Genomic DNA, 17,077 nt, shown 5'->3' with positions numbered 1-17,077 from the left:
CTTTTGGATTGTATTTTCTCATCTCACTTTCCCTTATTACTAGCTTGGAAGTTAAAAATTGTTTCTCTTCCTTTAGTGGTTATTGTAGAAATTTTAATATATGTTTAACTTTTAAAAGTCTAAAGTAAATAAATGCCATTCACTCTTACTCCAGACAACATAAGAACCTCAGCACGGGTAAAGCCCTAACACTGCTTGTTGAATGTGCTGTTCTTGTCAGCCTGCTTTTATCTTGATTGAGTTAATCTAATTTATTTATTATTTTTGTCCAAAAACACTCCCAGGATATGTATAATTTTTTTATTTCTGATGTTTTGAATTTCCGGTCATCCTTATTGTTACAAACCAACCAAAGCCAATTTGCACATGGCCAACTCTGGTCTTTTGGTAGGTATTTTAGTAGTTATTTTGGTGTGTTTGCAGATTATGACACAAGCAGACATTTAAACAGTGAGCCAGCATGCATATTTTATGTAGCCTATTCTTTAAATCTCATGAAACCTCAGCTTTCCGTTGTTGCCTAAAATGCTCATTCTAAGCAGATAAAACAATGTTCCAGACACAAGATTTTGTTTACCCAGAGTCTCCAGATGTCTTAGGGATTAAACCTAAGGTGTTATCCCTAAGGGTTTAGGCCTCTCCAGAGTCTTCCGTTTCCCTTATGCAAGGGTGTATTATGTCTCTAAATTAATTCAAAAAATTCACATAACTGGGATGCTATGGATTTCACCAGTGAAATCCCATTTTGCTGATTAATAAGCCACTACCTTCATCAGTGAAAACCTACTTCATTATAATTGGGAAGACTTTTTGTGTAAATCAAAGATTAATATGACAAAACCCCCCTTTCTGTTGTTGTTTTGTTTTGTTTTGTTTGAGTTGAAGTCTCGCTCTGTCGCCCAGGCTGGAGTGCAGTGGCGCGATCTCGGCTCACTGCAAGCTCCGCCTCCCGGGTTCACGCCATTCTCCTGCCCCAGCCTCCCGAGTAGCTGGGACTACAGGCGCCCGCCACCACGCCTGGCTAATATTTTGTATTTTTAGTAGAGACGGGGTTTCACCGTGTTAGCCAGGATGGTCTCGATCTCCTGACCTCGTGATCCGCCCGCCTCGGCCTCCCACAGTGCTGGGATTACAGGCGGGAGCCACCGCGCCCGGCCGACAAAACCCTTTTAGCAGCCATCTCCGTATATGATTCTTGTAATTAAATGCAAGGTGATCAATCTTGGGATGTGAATTGGAACGCAGACTGGCCTTTGGGAGGTTTACAAGTTCTCCAGGTGTTTCTAATGTGCGGGCACAGTTGCGAAGCATTGTGCCACCACTATTACGGCTACTATAGTTGACCCTTGAACAACACGAGTTGGAACTGCACTGCTCCACTTATATGCGGATGAAACAAATGCAGATTTCAAACAAATGCAATCAAACATAAAAGTATTTGTAGGATGCAAAACCCAAGTATACAGAGGGCTGACTTCCTGTAAGTGCATAGCTGACTTCAGGACTTCAGTATGTGAGGATTTGGGTACAGTATGCGAGGATTCACGGGGGACTAGTCCTGGAACTAGTCCCCCGTGAATGCAAAGCTTGAGGTATTTTCCTGCACTACTGTGCTATCTGTGTTGAGCTATTAATATTTACAAGTAAACTTCTGACATCATTTGTCGAATCCTCCTTCTAGAGTGAGAGACTTAAATTGATAGTATTGAGAGAGAAAGCATTCATACTTTAAGATTTTCACTGCTTTCTTAATCTGATTCATTTCTTCCTTAATTTTCTGACCATAAGAGATGAGAAGTCAGTTTTTTGGTATCTGCTTTAAATTGCTTTTTCTTTACATATACTTGCTTTTTGTTTATTCTGACAATGATAAAGGATTATGTCCCTCACAGCTTTTTAAAGAAATATTTTATAGAGGCTTAAAGGAGTATGTTATTAATTAAAGTGTCCTTTATCATCAGTTCTAAGACTTACCTTTTCCACATTTACCATTTCTGAAATTGGTGGAAATCTTGCAGTTGCTGGCATTTTGTCATGGCCTTATCTGAGTGGCGATCTTTGTGTAGTCATATGTAAACCTTTCCTGACACGTTTTGTTAAGATCAAGAAAGTACCAGCATGCTTTCCTGAGTCTTAGGATATTATGATAATCATTCAGCTGGTTCTATGAGAAGCGTCTGAAAACCTGGCCATCTTTGTGGGCCATTCTCTTGCTCTGCCTTGTTCATCTTGTTCTCTTTTGTTAGGTATTAACAGGATCAGTCTCTGAAACAATTATAAACCATCCTCTGGGGTTCTTAAGTGAAACCACTAGTCCCCTTTCCCTCACTAGTCCCCTTTCCCTCACTTTGGTTTGCTGGCTGTCTGATTCATATTTGCAAACTGAGTAGATAAGGATTTTCAATCCCAGCAGAAAAAAATTGTGTGTATTCTCTATCATTTGTTTCTAAATCACACTTTAATATGTTAATGTTTTTTCCTATTGTAAACTTGTTAAACATATTTTCTTGTATATTTCCTGTGTAATATGATGTATCAAGTTTTTAAAAATTTAAACTTTAAAAACTTTAAACTTGATACATAATATTGCCTGATATATTTGCACCATAATTTGATGACCATGTCAGCTCTCAGATATCTGTTATCTCTATTTTTATTAGGTTTTGTAAAGAAACCTGCAATGAGTAATCTTTGGACATGAAAAGTATTTAGTTTCTTTCCTTTGGATGGATTACCAGAAGTCAGATTACTGAGTCAGAAGAATATGAACGTTTCTCAAGTTCTTGAAACTTTCTGACAGATTGTATTCTGATAGAATTGTAATTTAAGAATGATTAAGACTGTTTCGTTTGGGGAATTTCTACCTGCTTCCCCTCTTTCATTCCTAGGTTACTGTGGCAGATGCCACGTAAAATAATTATTTGAGGGGTGTAATAGATTTGGAGCAGGTGAGCATTATAGCAGAGTAGGTAGGGTTCCTTTAACTTTTTGTTAGAAAACCGGAATTGAAGGAAAACAACCCTTATTTTGACATAAGAAGGCAAGCTTTAATGCTTTTTCATCTTAATTTTTAAAAAACCAGAATGTTATAAGAAGCTCAACAATTTATTTAAAATACAGTGTCAAGTATTAGACTAGTAGTCTCTTTTTTAAAATAAAAGCTAATATAGAGAGCTTTTCCTCTTTTATAGTATTGTGGTTTGGAGTGAACAGCTGTTACGCTGCATGTAGAAGTCAGTATATGAATTATTATTTTATAATTTGAAAAAGTATCTTAGAATTAACAGTGGTTTGCTGAGTAGATTGTAAATTAGGCACAGCTTTAGTCTTCACAATTCTAATAAAAGCTAATGGTAAAAATAAAATTTAATAGATGCTTTAAAAATCAACTGCTAGGATATTAGTTGTGTCAAGCAATACATGCATTTAGCAAACAGTTATTAAACATCTGTGCTAGTAACTGTGTTAGACATCAGTGATTAGTATTTTTTTACGGAAAGATAGTTAACACAGTATGATGTGACATGAAAGAGGGAGAAATTAAATTCTTGGAGTTTTCTGAAAAAAGCAAGTTGACATTTGCATAAAGTGTTGAAGGATGTGTAAGATGCCAAGTCAGAGGAGGAGGCCGTTACTGGGGTAAATAAATACAGTGGAAGGGTGACAATCACAAGAAACTGTAGAAATGCAGGAAGGTTTATGTTATTATTGCTGATACTTAGGGTGCATGTTAGGAAATGAGGGCAAAATCTAAAAGACCTGTATGATGAATGTTCTTATGAAAGGTTTGCCACCATGAAACATGCCGTGAATTAATCTATTAGATTATTGTGGTGGTGGTGGTGGTGGTAGTGGATGGTGGTGGCTCTCCTTACTGGAATAATGAGTAAAGTAAGATAGTGATTGGGTTACTTTATTCAGGGCTTGGCATAAAGATAATTATGATTTTATAATTTAAGACTCTGAAAGGGATACTTTCTTGCCAGTGTTGGGAAGAATATCAAGAAAGAAATAGGGGATATAATAGTTTTTTAAAAATCTTAATGTCGAAGAGAAGGACACAGTGGGTAAATTTTGGGGTTATGTAAGAGTAGTGTCAAGGTTCTAAAACTGAAAATGAGCTGAGAATTAGGAAAAATTGTTAGAACAGTAAATCGAACAAATAAAAACCTCAGCCTTTTCCCAAAAAGTTTGAAATGTACATGAAGCAACAGGGAGGACAGTAGGAGTATTATTGAGTGTATGGGAGGATGCAGTGATCATTGAAGAAACAAGTAATTTATATTTGGTTTTTGTCTTCAATGGCAAGGAAAATTATGCTCAAACTATTGTATACAAAGTAAACATTACTAAGAGGGACTTGAAATCAAACAGAAAAAACAGGGTCAATGAGCAGATAATTGTGCTAAATAAGTATATTTCCTAGCATTTTATTTCATCCAGTAGTATTGAGAATATAATGAAATCACTAGCAGCTCTTAGTAGTTTTTAAAAAATTGTAAGAAATGGGAGTGGCAGAAAAATGGACACAAGCAAATATAAGCCTTTTGAACCAAATGCTAGAGGAATAGAAGTTTTCCTGTTTCTAGTATATAATGAGCAGTTTTTGAAATCAACTTTATCTTTACATCTCTGGAACATATAGAAACATGATTGAATTTTATCATGGACCTGGTATACTAAGGTGAGCATATAGTTTGCATGCACTGACCACTAGATGGTGCTCATACAGAAGGGATTTTGTATGTGTGACATTGAGGGTTTTCTAGATAAATAGCAAATCTGTGTTCTTGTCACTCTTCTCAGTCTTGTCTTATCTCAATACAGTTGTATGTTTTGAAATTTAATAGCCCACATTAGAAAAGAGTAATAAAAATGCCTGTTATATTGCATTTACGTTACATTAGCTTTGTAGTTACTTTGGGTTTTTGGTGGGTTTTTTTTGTACTTTAGAGTTTCAGTATTGCTTTTCCTCTTGTCCTTTACCTTTTTACATTTTTCACTAAGATTATTTAGTAAACTGGGCATGGTGGTAACCTCAGCTACGTGGGTGGCTGAGGCAGGAGCATGGATTGAGCCAAGGAGTTCAAGACCAGCCTGGGCAACGTAGTGAGACTCCGTCTCAAAAACAAACAAATAAAAGATTATTTAGTATTTGCCTTTGTTTCTGTACCTAAAGACTGCTGGGTTTGTGACTTTAGAAACGTACACAAATAATTGAGAGCCTATCCAGTATAAATTTTTAACTTTTTATTACCATTTAATATTGTAAATATTCCTCATAGTCATAAATTTTTCATAATCATGTTTTGAATTACATAGTAATCCACTGAACTAATCGTATTTAGTTTACTAACTTAAGCTTTCTCTATTGTTTAGGCTAGAATTCTATAGATTATATTATCACTCTGAAAAAGAAAACACATTACGGAAAAAAGAATATTCTTTGTATATCATATTAAGATGTTAATAGTGATTCCTTTTGGTGGTTTAGATTGCATACCATCTTTTCATCCATTATTTTAAATAGGTTTTCCAGGTTTTTCTTTAATGAACTTAAATTTGGTTTTAATGGAGTTTTTATCTTTCATCTCTGCTGTGTAATGAGAGAGGATATTCTAAAGCAAAGAACAGTTGGTTGCCTTCCGCCTTCCACCTCCCAGTCTAATCTCATGTGAAACCCCTCTTGTGATTTAGGTATAGATTTTTTGTGTGCATATACTGACTACTGGCCAATGGATGAGGTGTTCCTAGATTTTTGTAGGTCATGTAACAGGACATTTTCATAAAGAAGTCTTTCCCAAAACTTGAAGTTGTTTTCTTGATGTGAATGGATTTGGATAGGAAATTTGCATCAAGAAGTATTTCTTCCCTGTACATTGGGGAAATATGGGAGGCAGTGATCTGTCAACTTTAGATTGTACCCTAAGTTCTTTGGCTCTGTAGGGTAAATAGATGCACACTAAGAGCCTACCATTGACCCCTAAGTTCTCTGGCTCTGTAGGATAAATAGATGCTCACTAAGAGCCTACTATTGTATGTCTTTTGGTACTGTTTACAGTTTGAGGTAGGAGATTTGCATTCAACAGTTGTATTCAGTATCTTCATCCATACTAATTCAGAATAACAGAACCCATATCAGTTTTCTCCTCCCCTTGAAGTTTTCATCAGACATGGATCAAGGCACATATTTTAGGGCCAGACCAATTACCGTAGCATTTATATAAACCACACTAATCAGGTCTTTACTAGGTACCTGGTCCATAACAAAACTTGAATTTTTTTCTGGGAGGTTTCATTTTTTCCTTCACAAGAGGATTCTTAGTTACCTGTCCGCCCTTAGTATTTTCTTACATTCTCTACTCCGAATTAGATAGGATCACTCTGGGGCCATAAATTGTCAGCTACTGCCGGCACAGTCCTTGGGAAGAAGCACCAAACTTTCTGGTATAATCTCTGTCACAAAATATCTTGCCCTCAAGAGTCCCACATGGCTCTCACCCTTACTGAGCACATGTTCACTTCTCAGCAGACGCATCATAGAGACAGCATTAGCATGTTTTCTTGCGGAGTCAAGATTTGCAGTGGACCTCAACATTGTAGTTTGACAAAAGGCTGCATCCAGTTGGTGCTGGTAAGCACGTAGACAAGGAAGATTCTGTCAGTCCACATCCGAAAAAATATCCATGGCTGAGGTTGGGACTTACGATATGCTCTTATCAGCTTAAAAATTAGATTATTCAACCAATAGTAAATTATCAAGTAGCGTTTTTGTTCACATATTGTTTTAAAATGACCATTGTTGTAATTACTAATATAGCACAGTGTTAAGAGGGCTTGCTTGGGAGTTTGTGGTTCTCAAACTTGAAGGTACTTAAGAGTCACTTGGGAAGCATTTTAAACATAAAAATTCCCAGGTTCCCCCTGCCCGTAAACATTTTGATGGGGAGAGGATACACCAATCTGCATATATAACTAGCGCCCCAGGCAATTCTCAGGCGAACTATTATGTTAACCTAAATATTAGATGTTAGAATATGTTCCTTTAGCAATCAGGTGATAGTATTTGGTGAACCAGAGTGGTATTTATGTAGAGTTGGATAAAACACATTTCACTGATTATAAAACGAAAAATTTACCAGCGTTAATTCTTTCTCATTTTTAGAAATTTATGACCTTGTAATATGAATGTTTATAAAATACTAGAGAGATGATGCTGATAATTTCTTGAAAGTTCTTTTTTATCATAAAGGTTCCAGAAGCAAAATACTTGTTTTAGTAATTAATCTACCTTGAGACCCAGTTGTTAATCATTAAAAACCAATACATTACATAAAATGATAAAGGAAAATCCATTTGTAATGAAGCGCTATCGTTAGATAGTCAGAGTTTAATGTAGGCAGCACCTTTGAACAACTTAGAGCCAGTGCCAGATAATGTGTAAGATCTGCCTGGTGTAGAAATTTGGATATGAATGACAAAGATTCTTTTAGTGAAATCATTTTAACAGTCAGAACTATTTGCAGAGAGAATCCTCTTATATGTTTTAATTCAGTTCATATTTATAATTTATATAAGCAGTGAAGGTGCCATTGGATTTTACTACAGACTGTGGTTGAAACTTGGTAATCCAGGGTTTTTCCACGCAGTGCATTAAATCAGGCAGCCCCACAGGGTCTTGGTAGTCCAGTGTTTATAGCATCCTTCTTTACCTGCTAATCGACCTCACTTCCTGGATTTCAATCCATCTAGTTATCAGCTAACAAAAGAACAGCTTTTGGTTCCTGCAGACGCTGGTGAAAAAATAATCATGAGAAAGAAATCCACCTTATGTCGTCTTTTTTGTCTGCAAAAATAAACTCAGCCATCATACAGCTAACAGGTACAGAGGGAAGATACGAGCTCTTTCATAGGAAGAAATCACTGAGAAAATGAGCATCATTTCTCAAGGTTTTTATTTTCACTGATCTACAAGTGATGCTGCTGTAATTGTAGCTGCAGTTTTTACCGATCATTCACCACTCAGCAGCTGGTAGAGAAGTAAGCCTGCTTGGCAACCACCTGCAGGGCTGCAGAGATGAATTACATTTTCGGAAACAACACACTTCTATACTCTCGCGGCAGTCGAGGAGGCAATACTAGCTCTAGCCATGGCTCAGCAGGCCCAAAGCAGAAACACTGGGCAAAAAAGGGCTCGTCAGATGAACTGCAAGCTGAGCCAGAACCTTCACGCTGGCAGCAGATAGTTGCATTTTTCACTCGAAGACACAGCTTTATTGACTGCATCTCGGTAGCCACCAGCTCCACCCAGGTAACATACCACTTGTTGAAATTATTTTCAATCTATTTCTGTTTACGTTTGCTCTGTAAAAATGTCTTAATATAGATTTTTTATTTAAAGAATAGCCTTGAAACCTTGGATGTGTAGAAATGTATGTTTTCTGTCCATCCGTGTAGGTCTTTAGCACAAAAGGGGGAACAAGAAATATTTTTCCTTATGCTCTTATGTAATACCAAACAAAATAGCCTCAGATTCAATTGAATGACTTTTCTAAAAATATAAGCCCATTGATACATAAAATATGAATTAATAATGCTCATCTCCTTTTTAGACTGTGCTAAATGCTGTAGAGTATGATGTCTGACCAAAGAAAATGCTGATTTGTTTAGTTTTTGTATGTTATTAGATAACCTTAGGGAGACTGTTACAGTAAAGAAACAGAAGATACTTTGAAATATTTTCATTTTTCAGTGTTTTGAAAATAGATTCAATTTAATATAATTGGCTAGTATTATATATACTGACATCTTAGCTATATTATGGCTTATTCAAGGGATTTAATGAATCGTTTTTTGTAAATATTATTTATCTAGCTTAATTTGAAATTAAGTGAACTTGTGCAATTACACAGTCATGGAATATTTTTTCACATAGTCAAATCACAATTTAAAGAGATGAGCAAATACTAAAAGTCTCTCAAAATTAAAAAAAATCACATAACACCACTTTTTGAGGAAATGAGCTATTGTCTATGGGAGGAAAAATAAAGAAAAATTAATAATTGTTTGAAATACCTATTGTTTGCTACAAGGGTGGTTTGAGGAAATATTCATATTTCTAAATATTTTTAAGCAGTCAGTTCAACTTTAGTAAAAATAAAAGGACGAGAAATGGTCTAAAAACAAGTTGAGAATGCATTTGTCCTCTGACATCAGTGATATTTAAATTAGGAAAATACATACATACACATTCCTTAGGACCTTTTAAAATAAATTCCCTTAAAGCTGTCTTTTAAAGAAAATAATAGAAGCAGCTCAATAAATATAAACTATAACTGTCAACAGTTCTATATTTCTTTATATGTTTTTTATAAATTTCTTTACTGTTTTTGGTTACTAGAATTGTCTTTTAATGGTGTTGATTTAAAATAACATCAGCTTTCTTAAGTAAGAAATTCTACTTACTTTTCTCAAATATTTGGGAGAAATGGAATTACCTAGGAAGGGGGAGTCATTATGTAGGCATTGAGGTTAAGTTACAATCAAAACTTATTGAATGGGCAACGATTGATTTAACTCTTAAATTGAATACTGCCCCAAGAATTTTACTAACCTTATTTTGACTGCAATTACATATATCACGAAAGGATGCAAAGACTAAAGGTTGACAATGTTATTCATTGTAGATTAATACTAGATGATATTTTCCATTGTCAACAAGACAGATATCTTTAGAACTTTTTATATATATATATGGTTTATGTAAATGCACACCCTTCTATATATGTATGCACAGATAACACTAGCATTGATATATCTGTCACTCGGTTTATTAAAAGCAGGCAAATGAAAAGACAGGAAAAGTAGTTCATGTATAAAGTGTTGAAACCACAGAGTTACGTTATAGCCGCTTGGGAGTAGGAGCAGAACGTTGCTGTGATTGCGCCAGAAGAGAGTCATGACCCCTGTTCGCAGTCAGCTCTGCAAAGCCATTTTACATGACAGCCCCCACCCAGTTTGGTTCAGAGCATTCCTGTATGCTAGTATATGAGTTATTAATAGTTTTTATTTCTTTCAGACCTCTTTCCTGATTCTCATCTTGTCTTTTTCATTACCTTTCTATTTTATTTCTAGAAATAGGAGTATTAGGGTAGAGGTTTTAGCTTCTGTTTTTCTTGCACTGGAGTACCAACATTTTGTTTTTCATTTTATACATTTTTGTAACTGATACATTGGATAGTTTATATATCTTAATTTTTTTATAACTTACTGGAGTTGATTTGACAAGTTAAAATATAATGGGACTGAAAAATAACTTGAGATATAATTGGATCTTACTTGATACTAGAATACTTTTTTAAATTGCACTTACTGACTCATGGCTGGCAGCTTTCTTTTGCAGCACTAAGGGATTTATTGTTAGAAACAACGTAGATTGAAATTTCATACTTAGAGCATATAATATATACCTATGAATATAATAAGGTCATAGTGTTTTGTACTGCGATTGGTAAATAACAGAGGTCTCTTATTTCACTGATGTCAAAAATACTCTAAGATTTGACAGAAAGATTAACTTTGAATCTAATTCCATATGACTAAGCCACATGATACTTTTTGCAGATTGGAGAGTTGTTATAAATCAAGTTCTATTAGTATGAAAACTATCTGGTTTAGTATCCCCCCCAAATACAGTATGAAAAGTATCTGATTTAATATCCCCCCAAATATACACAATACATAAAAAGAACCTGTACTTATTTTACAGATTCATTTAAATTGCTTGTCTGCTGGAGGTATTCATGTTCATAACTAAGATTATGTGCCATTTTCTACTATGATACTGGAACTCAGGAGGAAGTCATTAATGTTTTTTGAATGATAAGGAAACTGAGTGGTTATAAACTTTTGCAAGACACCTAGCTTCTCAGTTAGGGTTTGGCATGTAGTTGGTGTTAATAAATGCTTATAGAATTAATTAATTTTTATTCCATTCACCTCAAATGTTATCTCCTGGCCTTCCAAAATATGACACCTAATCTAATACCTCTTCAGTACCTGTATTGATTGGATCTTCTCTCTTCCCTCACAAGTGTCTTTGGTTTTTCACAGCAGCCCATCTCCTTTTCCACTGCCTTTTCTTCCCCTCCATTCTTCATACTATCCTCCAGTCACACTGCCCCGATTCCCCTGATTTCCTCACCCCTTTCAGTCCCCACTCAGTAGTGATAACCAAATAGCTTACACACTGTCTCTCAGTTTTATCATTTCATTGTATCTCATTTTACATTGTGGGTTTTTTGAGAGGTTGTTTTATTTTTTAATGTTAAATAAAAATGAGTTTCTTATGAATTACATTGGTGAAACTTTTTCAGTTTGAGGCTTCATAGTGTTTTTGTCCTTAATTTCAAACGATTAGTATAGAAAAAGTTCTCTATGCATTGCGAAGCCCTCCTTGGTTCCGCACCCTCAGCGTCCCTCCTATTCTTGTGTTGAGGGTCACTCAATAATCGGCCCCGTCCTACTTAGCATACACAGTCCTGTTCCAATCTGGGACCAGTTTTTATATTCAGCAGGGTTTTATAGAACTCCAGCACAGTGCTGCTAGACTTTACTTGATTAACGCCTAGGTGAAAAGTTTTATTTACTTAGTGATATCGACGTTTATTAATGTCAGTAGTAATCATATGAACTTTAAATAACTGTGAAGTGTTCAGTCATTTTGAATGTGTGTATAGCAGCTATTCATACATTTTGGACTACTTGAAAATCTCAACATATAGAGCACTATAAATACTCAAAAAGCCCCCCCCCCCCCAAAAAAAAAACACAACATGCCAAATTAAGCTGAGAGCAGCAAAGCTGTATTCTTAGGAATATGGAACAGACATGAAAACTTGTCAGAATTGAAATAGAATAATAAAGTTTTCTTAAAGAGTAAATATTAGCTGAGTTGAATAATCTGCTTAGAGGAAAAACCCTGTCCTAAGTCAAAAATATAGGAAAACATTGTTCAAGTGCCTGTGTGGAAAAATATTTAGGCTAATTTGTACACTTTAAAAAATATTGTTTGTCTGAAACAGATGCCTTCTGAGTTATAGAGGATTTAATTTTTAGAGCTATGCATTGGATATATTGTCCAATAGAGAGAATAACAGTATCAGTGTCATTGAGTCACTTCTACCAAATAATTTAATGTATATATTAATAAAGTACTTAGGACAGCATCTGACACAGAGTAAGTGCTACATTAGAGTTAGGTGCCCCTGTTAGCTTATTTTTATATCATTTAACTCTAATAGTATATGAACAAATTCAGATATAGATTATTAGGAATTATTGCACCTAGGATAGCGCAGTACATTCAAACATTCAGTAAATATTGTTGACTGATTAAGTTAATTTGTAAGTACAAGCCATCCACTTTTTTTAAGAACCAGAGATCTCAACACCTTTAATTACAGGATTTAAGGGAGGTGCCCCAAAGAGCCTTTGAAATTCTTGATGAGACTACCAGTTTTTTGACCTTTCCTCCCCTCCTAGCACTCCCTTCTACAAATTGGTGAAAACCAGTCACGTGTAGATGACTAAATTTAAGTGATTATCCACTTGGTACCAAGCTCCCCTAAGCATCCCCCAAACATATCATGAGGACTATTTTTAGATCCTAAATCCCTTTTAGCCTGTCACCACAGAAAGTCCAGACCATCCGGATTGCAGCTCTGCCTTCTCTATACCAACTCGCAGACTGCACGTTAAACTTCCAATACCTGATTCCTGGTCTTATTCTCAAATAAATAATCTTGCTTTGTGTTCCAGCCTGCTAAAATAAATGAACTGTGTGCCTAAAGCTTACCCATATTCACTTCTGTACTAGATCGTAGTCCCTTTGGTTGTTCAAGAACTTCTGAAATCCCTTTCTCTCTTCACTGCATCATCTGTCTTGCCTCTGTACTGCCCCTAGACTTGCCTCTATAAGTCCTATCAGGATGTACACCTGCTATAATATCTTTCATTAAAACAACCATCCAAAAAACCCTCGTTGTGTGAGTGTAGATTATCAAATCCAGTGGCCAGTTCTCAGTGTTCATTTTACTTGACCCTACAACAACTGTTAACACAATTGATTACTCCCTCCTCTAAATTCTTTTTTCTCCTTTGACTCGTGGATAGTACTGCTCTTTTAATATTCTACCAGCCTCATTTTCCTTTATAGTATCCTCCTTTTTCCTACTGCTAAATGTTCAAATGTCTCAGGGCTCAGTCTTTGAACTCTCTTTTTATACTCACATTTCAGGTGATCGCATCTAGTCCTATGCCCTTAAATACCATCAGTATTTCTCTTTATTCCAGAGTTAATCCCTGTACATTAGACTTTTATATCTAACTTTCTACTCAGTATCTCCACTTCGGTTAAGCATCTGAAAGGTAACATATTAAAAAGAGAATTTCTAGTTTTATTGGTCTCAATCTTCTTTATTCAGTATGCCATTCACTAAGATGCTGAAGACAAAAACCCTTAAAATTATCTTTTATTCCTTTTTTCTTTGCTCCGTATCCAGTCTGATGCCAAATCCTGTTGGCTTTTTATTCAAGATATATTTATGATTTGGCCACTTTTCAACACTTCTGCAACTACTGATTCAATAATATGTTGCCTGAACTACAGCAGTAGACATCTAACTTCTCTCGTTAATATTTTTTGCTTCCTCTAAGGTAGCACCCCTTCACTCCAGACATTACTCTGTCTTCTTACCTGATTCTTTATTATACATTTTTTACTGTCTTTTTACTTGACTGTCAGCTCCATGTGGGTGGGATTTTTCTGTTATGTTTATTGTTGTATCCTCAGTTTCTGTGACAGTGGCTGGCACACTGTAGATAACCAGAAAATATTTGTTGAATGAGTGAAGAGACAGGGACATACGAACTTGTGCTAAGGAGGGCCCAAGCAGGTGTGTTTGTCTGTCTTTTCCCTTAGACTTTCTGTGAAGCGCGCATCACACTTTATTTAGCATTGTAATAGTTCTCTAACTGATGATTCTTACTTGCCCTCTGAGAAGAAATACACACAAGGAAATGAGGTAGGGAGAGAAGAGAATTCAATTTCCTCAAAACTGGGATAACTATATAACTCAGACCAAACTAGGATACTTTAATGAAAAGAGGGAATCATTAATAATTAAAGTGAGACAACAGGCATAAATACAGACTTCCCAAGTAAATAGAGGCATATGGGGTCACTCTGTTATAACCATTTATTTTCTGACTATTCCCACCAGGCAACAGGTCTGAAATTCACACCAAGACATCTCCATCTTGGACCATCCTAGATTGATTGACCTAACCGTGTTATCGGTACATACCACATTCATTTTGTCTCATGTGTAATGATAATTGTGTTTTGATAAAATATTTTTTCTTCATCTCCAAGGAATGGAATTGTTCATATTCATTAGTGTAGTGCTTTTGTACTAAAAAGTAGACTACGTATAGGGTAGGTAGACAATCTTCTTAAACTGCTTTGAAAATACTGACTCTAATTGATAGGTTATTTTCCAGAGAAATTGGTGGAAATAGTCTCCTTTGGTATTGACTCCCCAAACATTCACAGTTTGGATGGAAACGCTGTTGTACTGGCTGTGAGATGCTGACCCTTGGCAGACACATTTGTTTCTTAATTTTCTACTCAAAAGGCTACTAACTTTGCGAAATTAATATGATGACTCAGACTTGGAAATCAATTGTTCCCCCTTTGACACAAAAAATATTGTAGGATCTATTTTATGTTTCTGTTTTTCTGGAAACTTTTACAGTGCACCTACATGTACTGACTCAAAAATTGGTTCTTAAACACTGTTTCAACACATTTTTATCATTTGTACAATAAATAAAAATAAATAAAAAATAATATAAAAAATAAAAATAAAATTTATATCATTTGTTCAATAGGACACTCTAGAAAAGCATAGAGATGAAGATTAAACCAAAAGTAGTTGGTTACAATGGTTATATAAGCTTTTTTAAATTACAAAATTGACCATACGATCCAGCAGTTGTACTCCTTGGTATTTGCCCAAATGAATTGAAAGCTTACATCCACCCAAAAACCTGTACAGAGATGTTTATAACAGCTGTGTTCATAATTGCCAAAACCTAGAAGCAACCAACATATTCCTCAGTGTGTGCATGGATAAAGTGTGGTGCATTCAGACAATGGAATATCACCCAGCACTAAAAGAAATGAGCTATCAAGCCATGAAAAGACATGGAGGAACCTTAAATGAATATTACCAGGTGAAAGAAGCCAACCTGAAAAGGATACACACCCTTGTTTCCAACTAGATGACGTTCTGGAAAAGGCAAAACTATGGAAACAATAAAAAGATCAGTGGTTGCCAGGGGTTAGGTGAGAGGGATAAATAATAGAGCACAGAGGATTTTTAGGACAGTAAAGCCATTCTGTATGATACTATAATGGCGGAAACGTCATTAAACACATGTCAAAACCCATGGAATATCCAGCCCCCACAGTCAACTCTCATGTAAATTATGGACTTTGTGATGTGGCAGTGTGGGCTCATTGATTGTAACAAATGTACATTAGAAATGCAGGGGTGTTGATTATGGATAGTTTATGTGTGTGAGCAGGGGGCATATGGGAACTAAAACTGCTCTAAAAAAATATATAAAGTCTATTAAAAACTATAAAATTGGTGTCTTAATGTAGATTAGATTGGCTTAGCTTGAAGACATTTGAAATTTATGATATAAGGTCTTTATAGTTAGGAAATGTGTTTTATTCTTCTTTGTAGCTTCTGTATAGTGTCTTGATTGTTTAGATGGCGTTTCTGTCAAGGATAGATAGGCAAAAAGAAGTTTCACAGGCTATAATTTATATATTCTAAATATATTCAGAGAAGTTTTAAAGTTAACCTTTAAAATAATGTGTTAATAACAGTGCTGAAAAGTGACTGAACCATGCTTATGGGATCAGGGCAAGTCAGCCTGAGCAACATTTTTCTCCTGTATTTTCAAGTAATGTTTGTTTGCATGAGAATTGTACTTCATACCTCTTATCACGACTCTAATTCAGTAGTCATTTGGATAATGATTTTGTTTAATGTCAGCCACTAAACTGTAAGTTTCACAAGAGCTGATGCTACAGGGTGTGTGGTTTTTTCCCTTGGTATCCCCAGAGCCTCGCATGGAGAATGCACTTGATAAATATTTGTTGAATGAATAAACAGATGTTATACAGGTGTTAATTTTTATTTAATCTGCTGTTGACGAAGTGGAAGTTTGGAACTTCTAAATATTGTTGGATCACTGTAAATTTCCCAAGCCATTTTTATGTAACACTATGGCTTAAAAACTAGCAAGTCTATGTTACCAGATTTTGTAAAGTTGTGAATTTCAGAAGTAATTCAGATCCTTCTGTGAAAAAATTGTGAAGCATTTATACTCTTACATATCTGAAGAACTTAAATTTTTATCATGAAAATTTTACTTAGTATCAGTCTCTTTAAATAAATTTTCTTAAATTATTCCTTGTACTTCCTGGCACTATTATTTAGATAACATTTCCAGCCCTCCATTTTTATAGCAAAGTTTAGAATTTTGATAAAGGTAAAAATAGTTGTTCAGACTATGTAGAGAACAGTAGCCTACAGTTACCACCTTTTAAAGAAAACTTTAAACCAACTGATGTGGTAATTTTAACAGGCGTATGCAAATACAAACCAACTGGCAGTGCCACCTGGGAGCAGTGGAATTTTATAGAAGCCTATACACGCAACTTGCCCCTCCAGGCATTTATTTAAAAGATTTTCCCTCCTCACTTCGTAACAGGAGCACTTCCTATTCATTCTTTTTCCTTTAAGCCCCAATTTGGTAGCATTTCTGAACAGTATTTTCAGTATCTGTGAAATCAAAACTCTGACTTCTTGACTGGAGCAGCTTTGAAATGTGAAGAAGTTACAGCTGTGACAGAGTGGAACCAAATGATTGCTTTACAATTTGTGTTGTTTTGTTGTTCTGAGAAAAAGAATTGGGGATTATAACCTGGTGTTTAATT

General features: G+C 35.4%; 1 protein-coding gene across 45 annotated transcripts in view; it reads left to right on the top strand.

The window, feature by feature from the left end:
• Positions 1 to 17,077, top strand: part of DLG1 (discs large MAGUK scaffold protein 1) — a 256,762-nt gene that overhangs the window by 107,436 nt on the left and 132,249 nt on the right. For 8 of the 45 annotated variants that reach the window (NR_158767.1, NR_158766.1, NM_001204388.2 and 5 more), the window contains exon 1: positions 8,014 to 8,311. The exons of the other annotated variants lie outside the window; for them this stretch is intronic. Coding sequence is in view for 6 of the 8 variants with exons in the window: in NM_001204388.2 (NP_001191317.1) it covers positions 8,078 to 8,311 (234 nt within the window). In the remaining 2 variants the exon portion in view is untranslated. Of the gene's footprint in view, positions 1 to 8,013; positions 8,312 to 17,077 lie in introns of those variants that run through there. 45 annotated transcript variants of the gene reach the window in all.

This window comes from Homo sapiens, chromosome 3 (assembly GCF_000001405.40).
Source record: "Homo sapiens chromosome 3, GRCh38.p14 Primary Assembly".
Lineage (NCBI taxonomy): Eukaryota > Metazoa > Chordata > Mammalia > Primates > Hominidae > Homo > Homo sapiens.
Note: the sequence above shows the minus strand (reverse complement) of the source record. Positions and strands in the feature narration are given on the sequence as shown.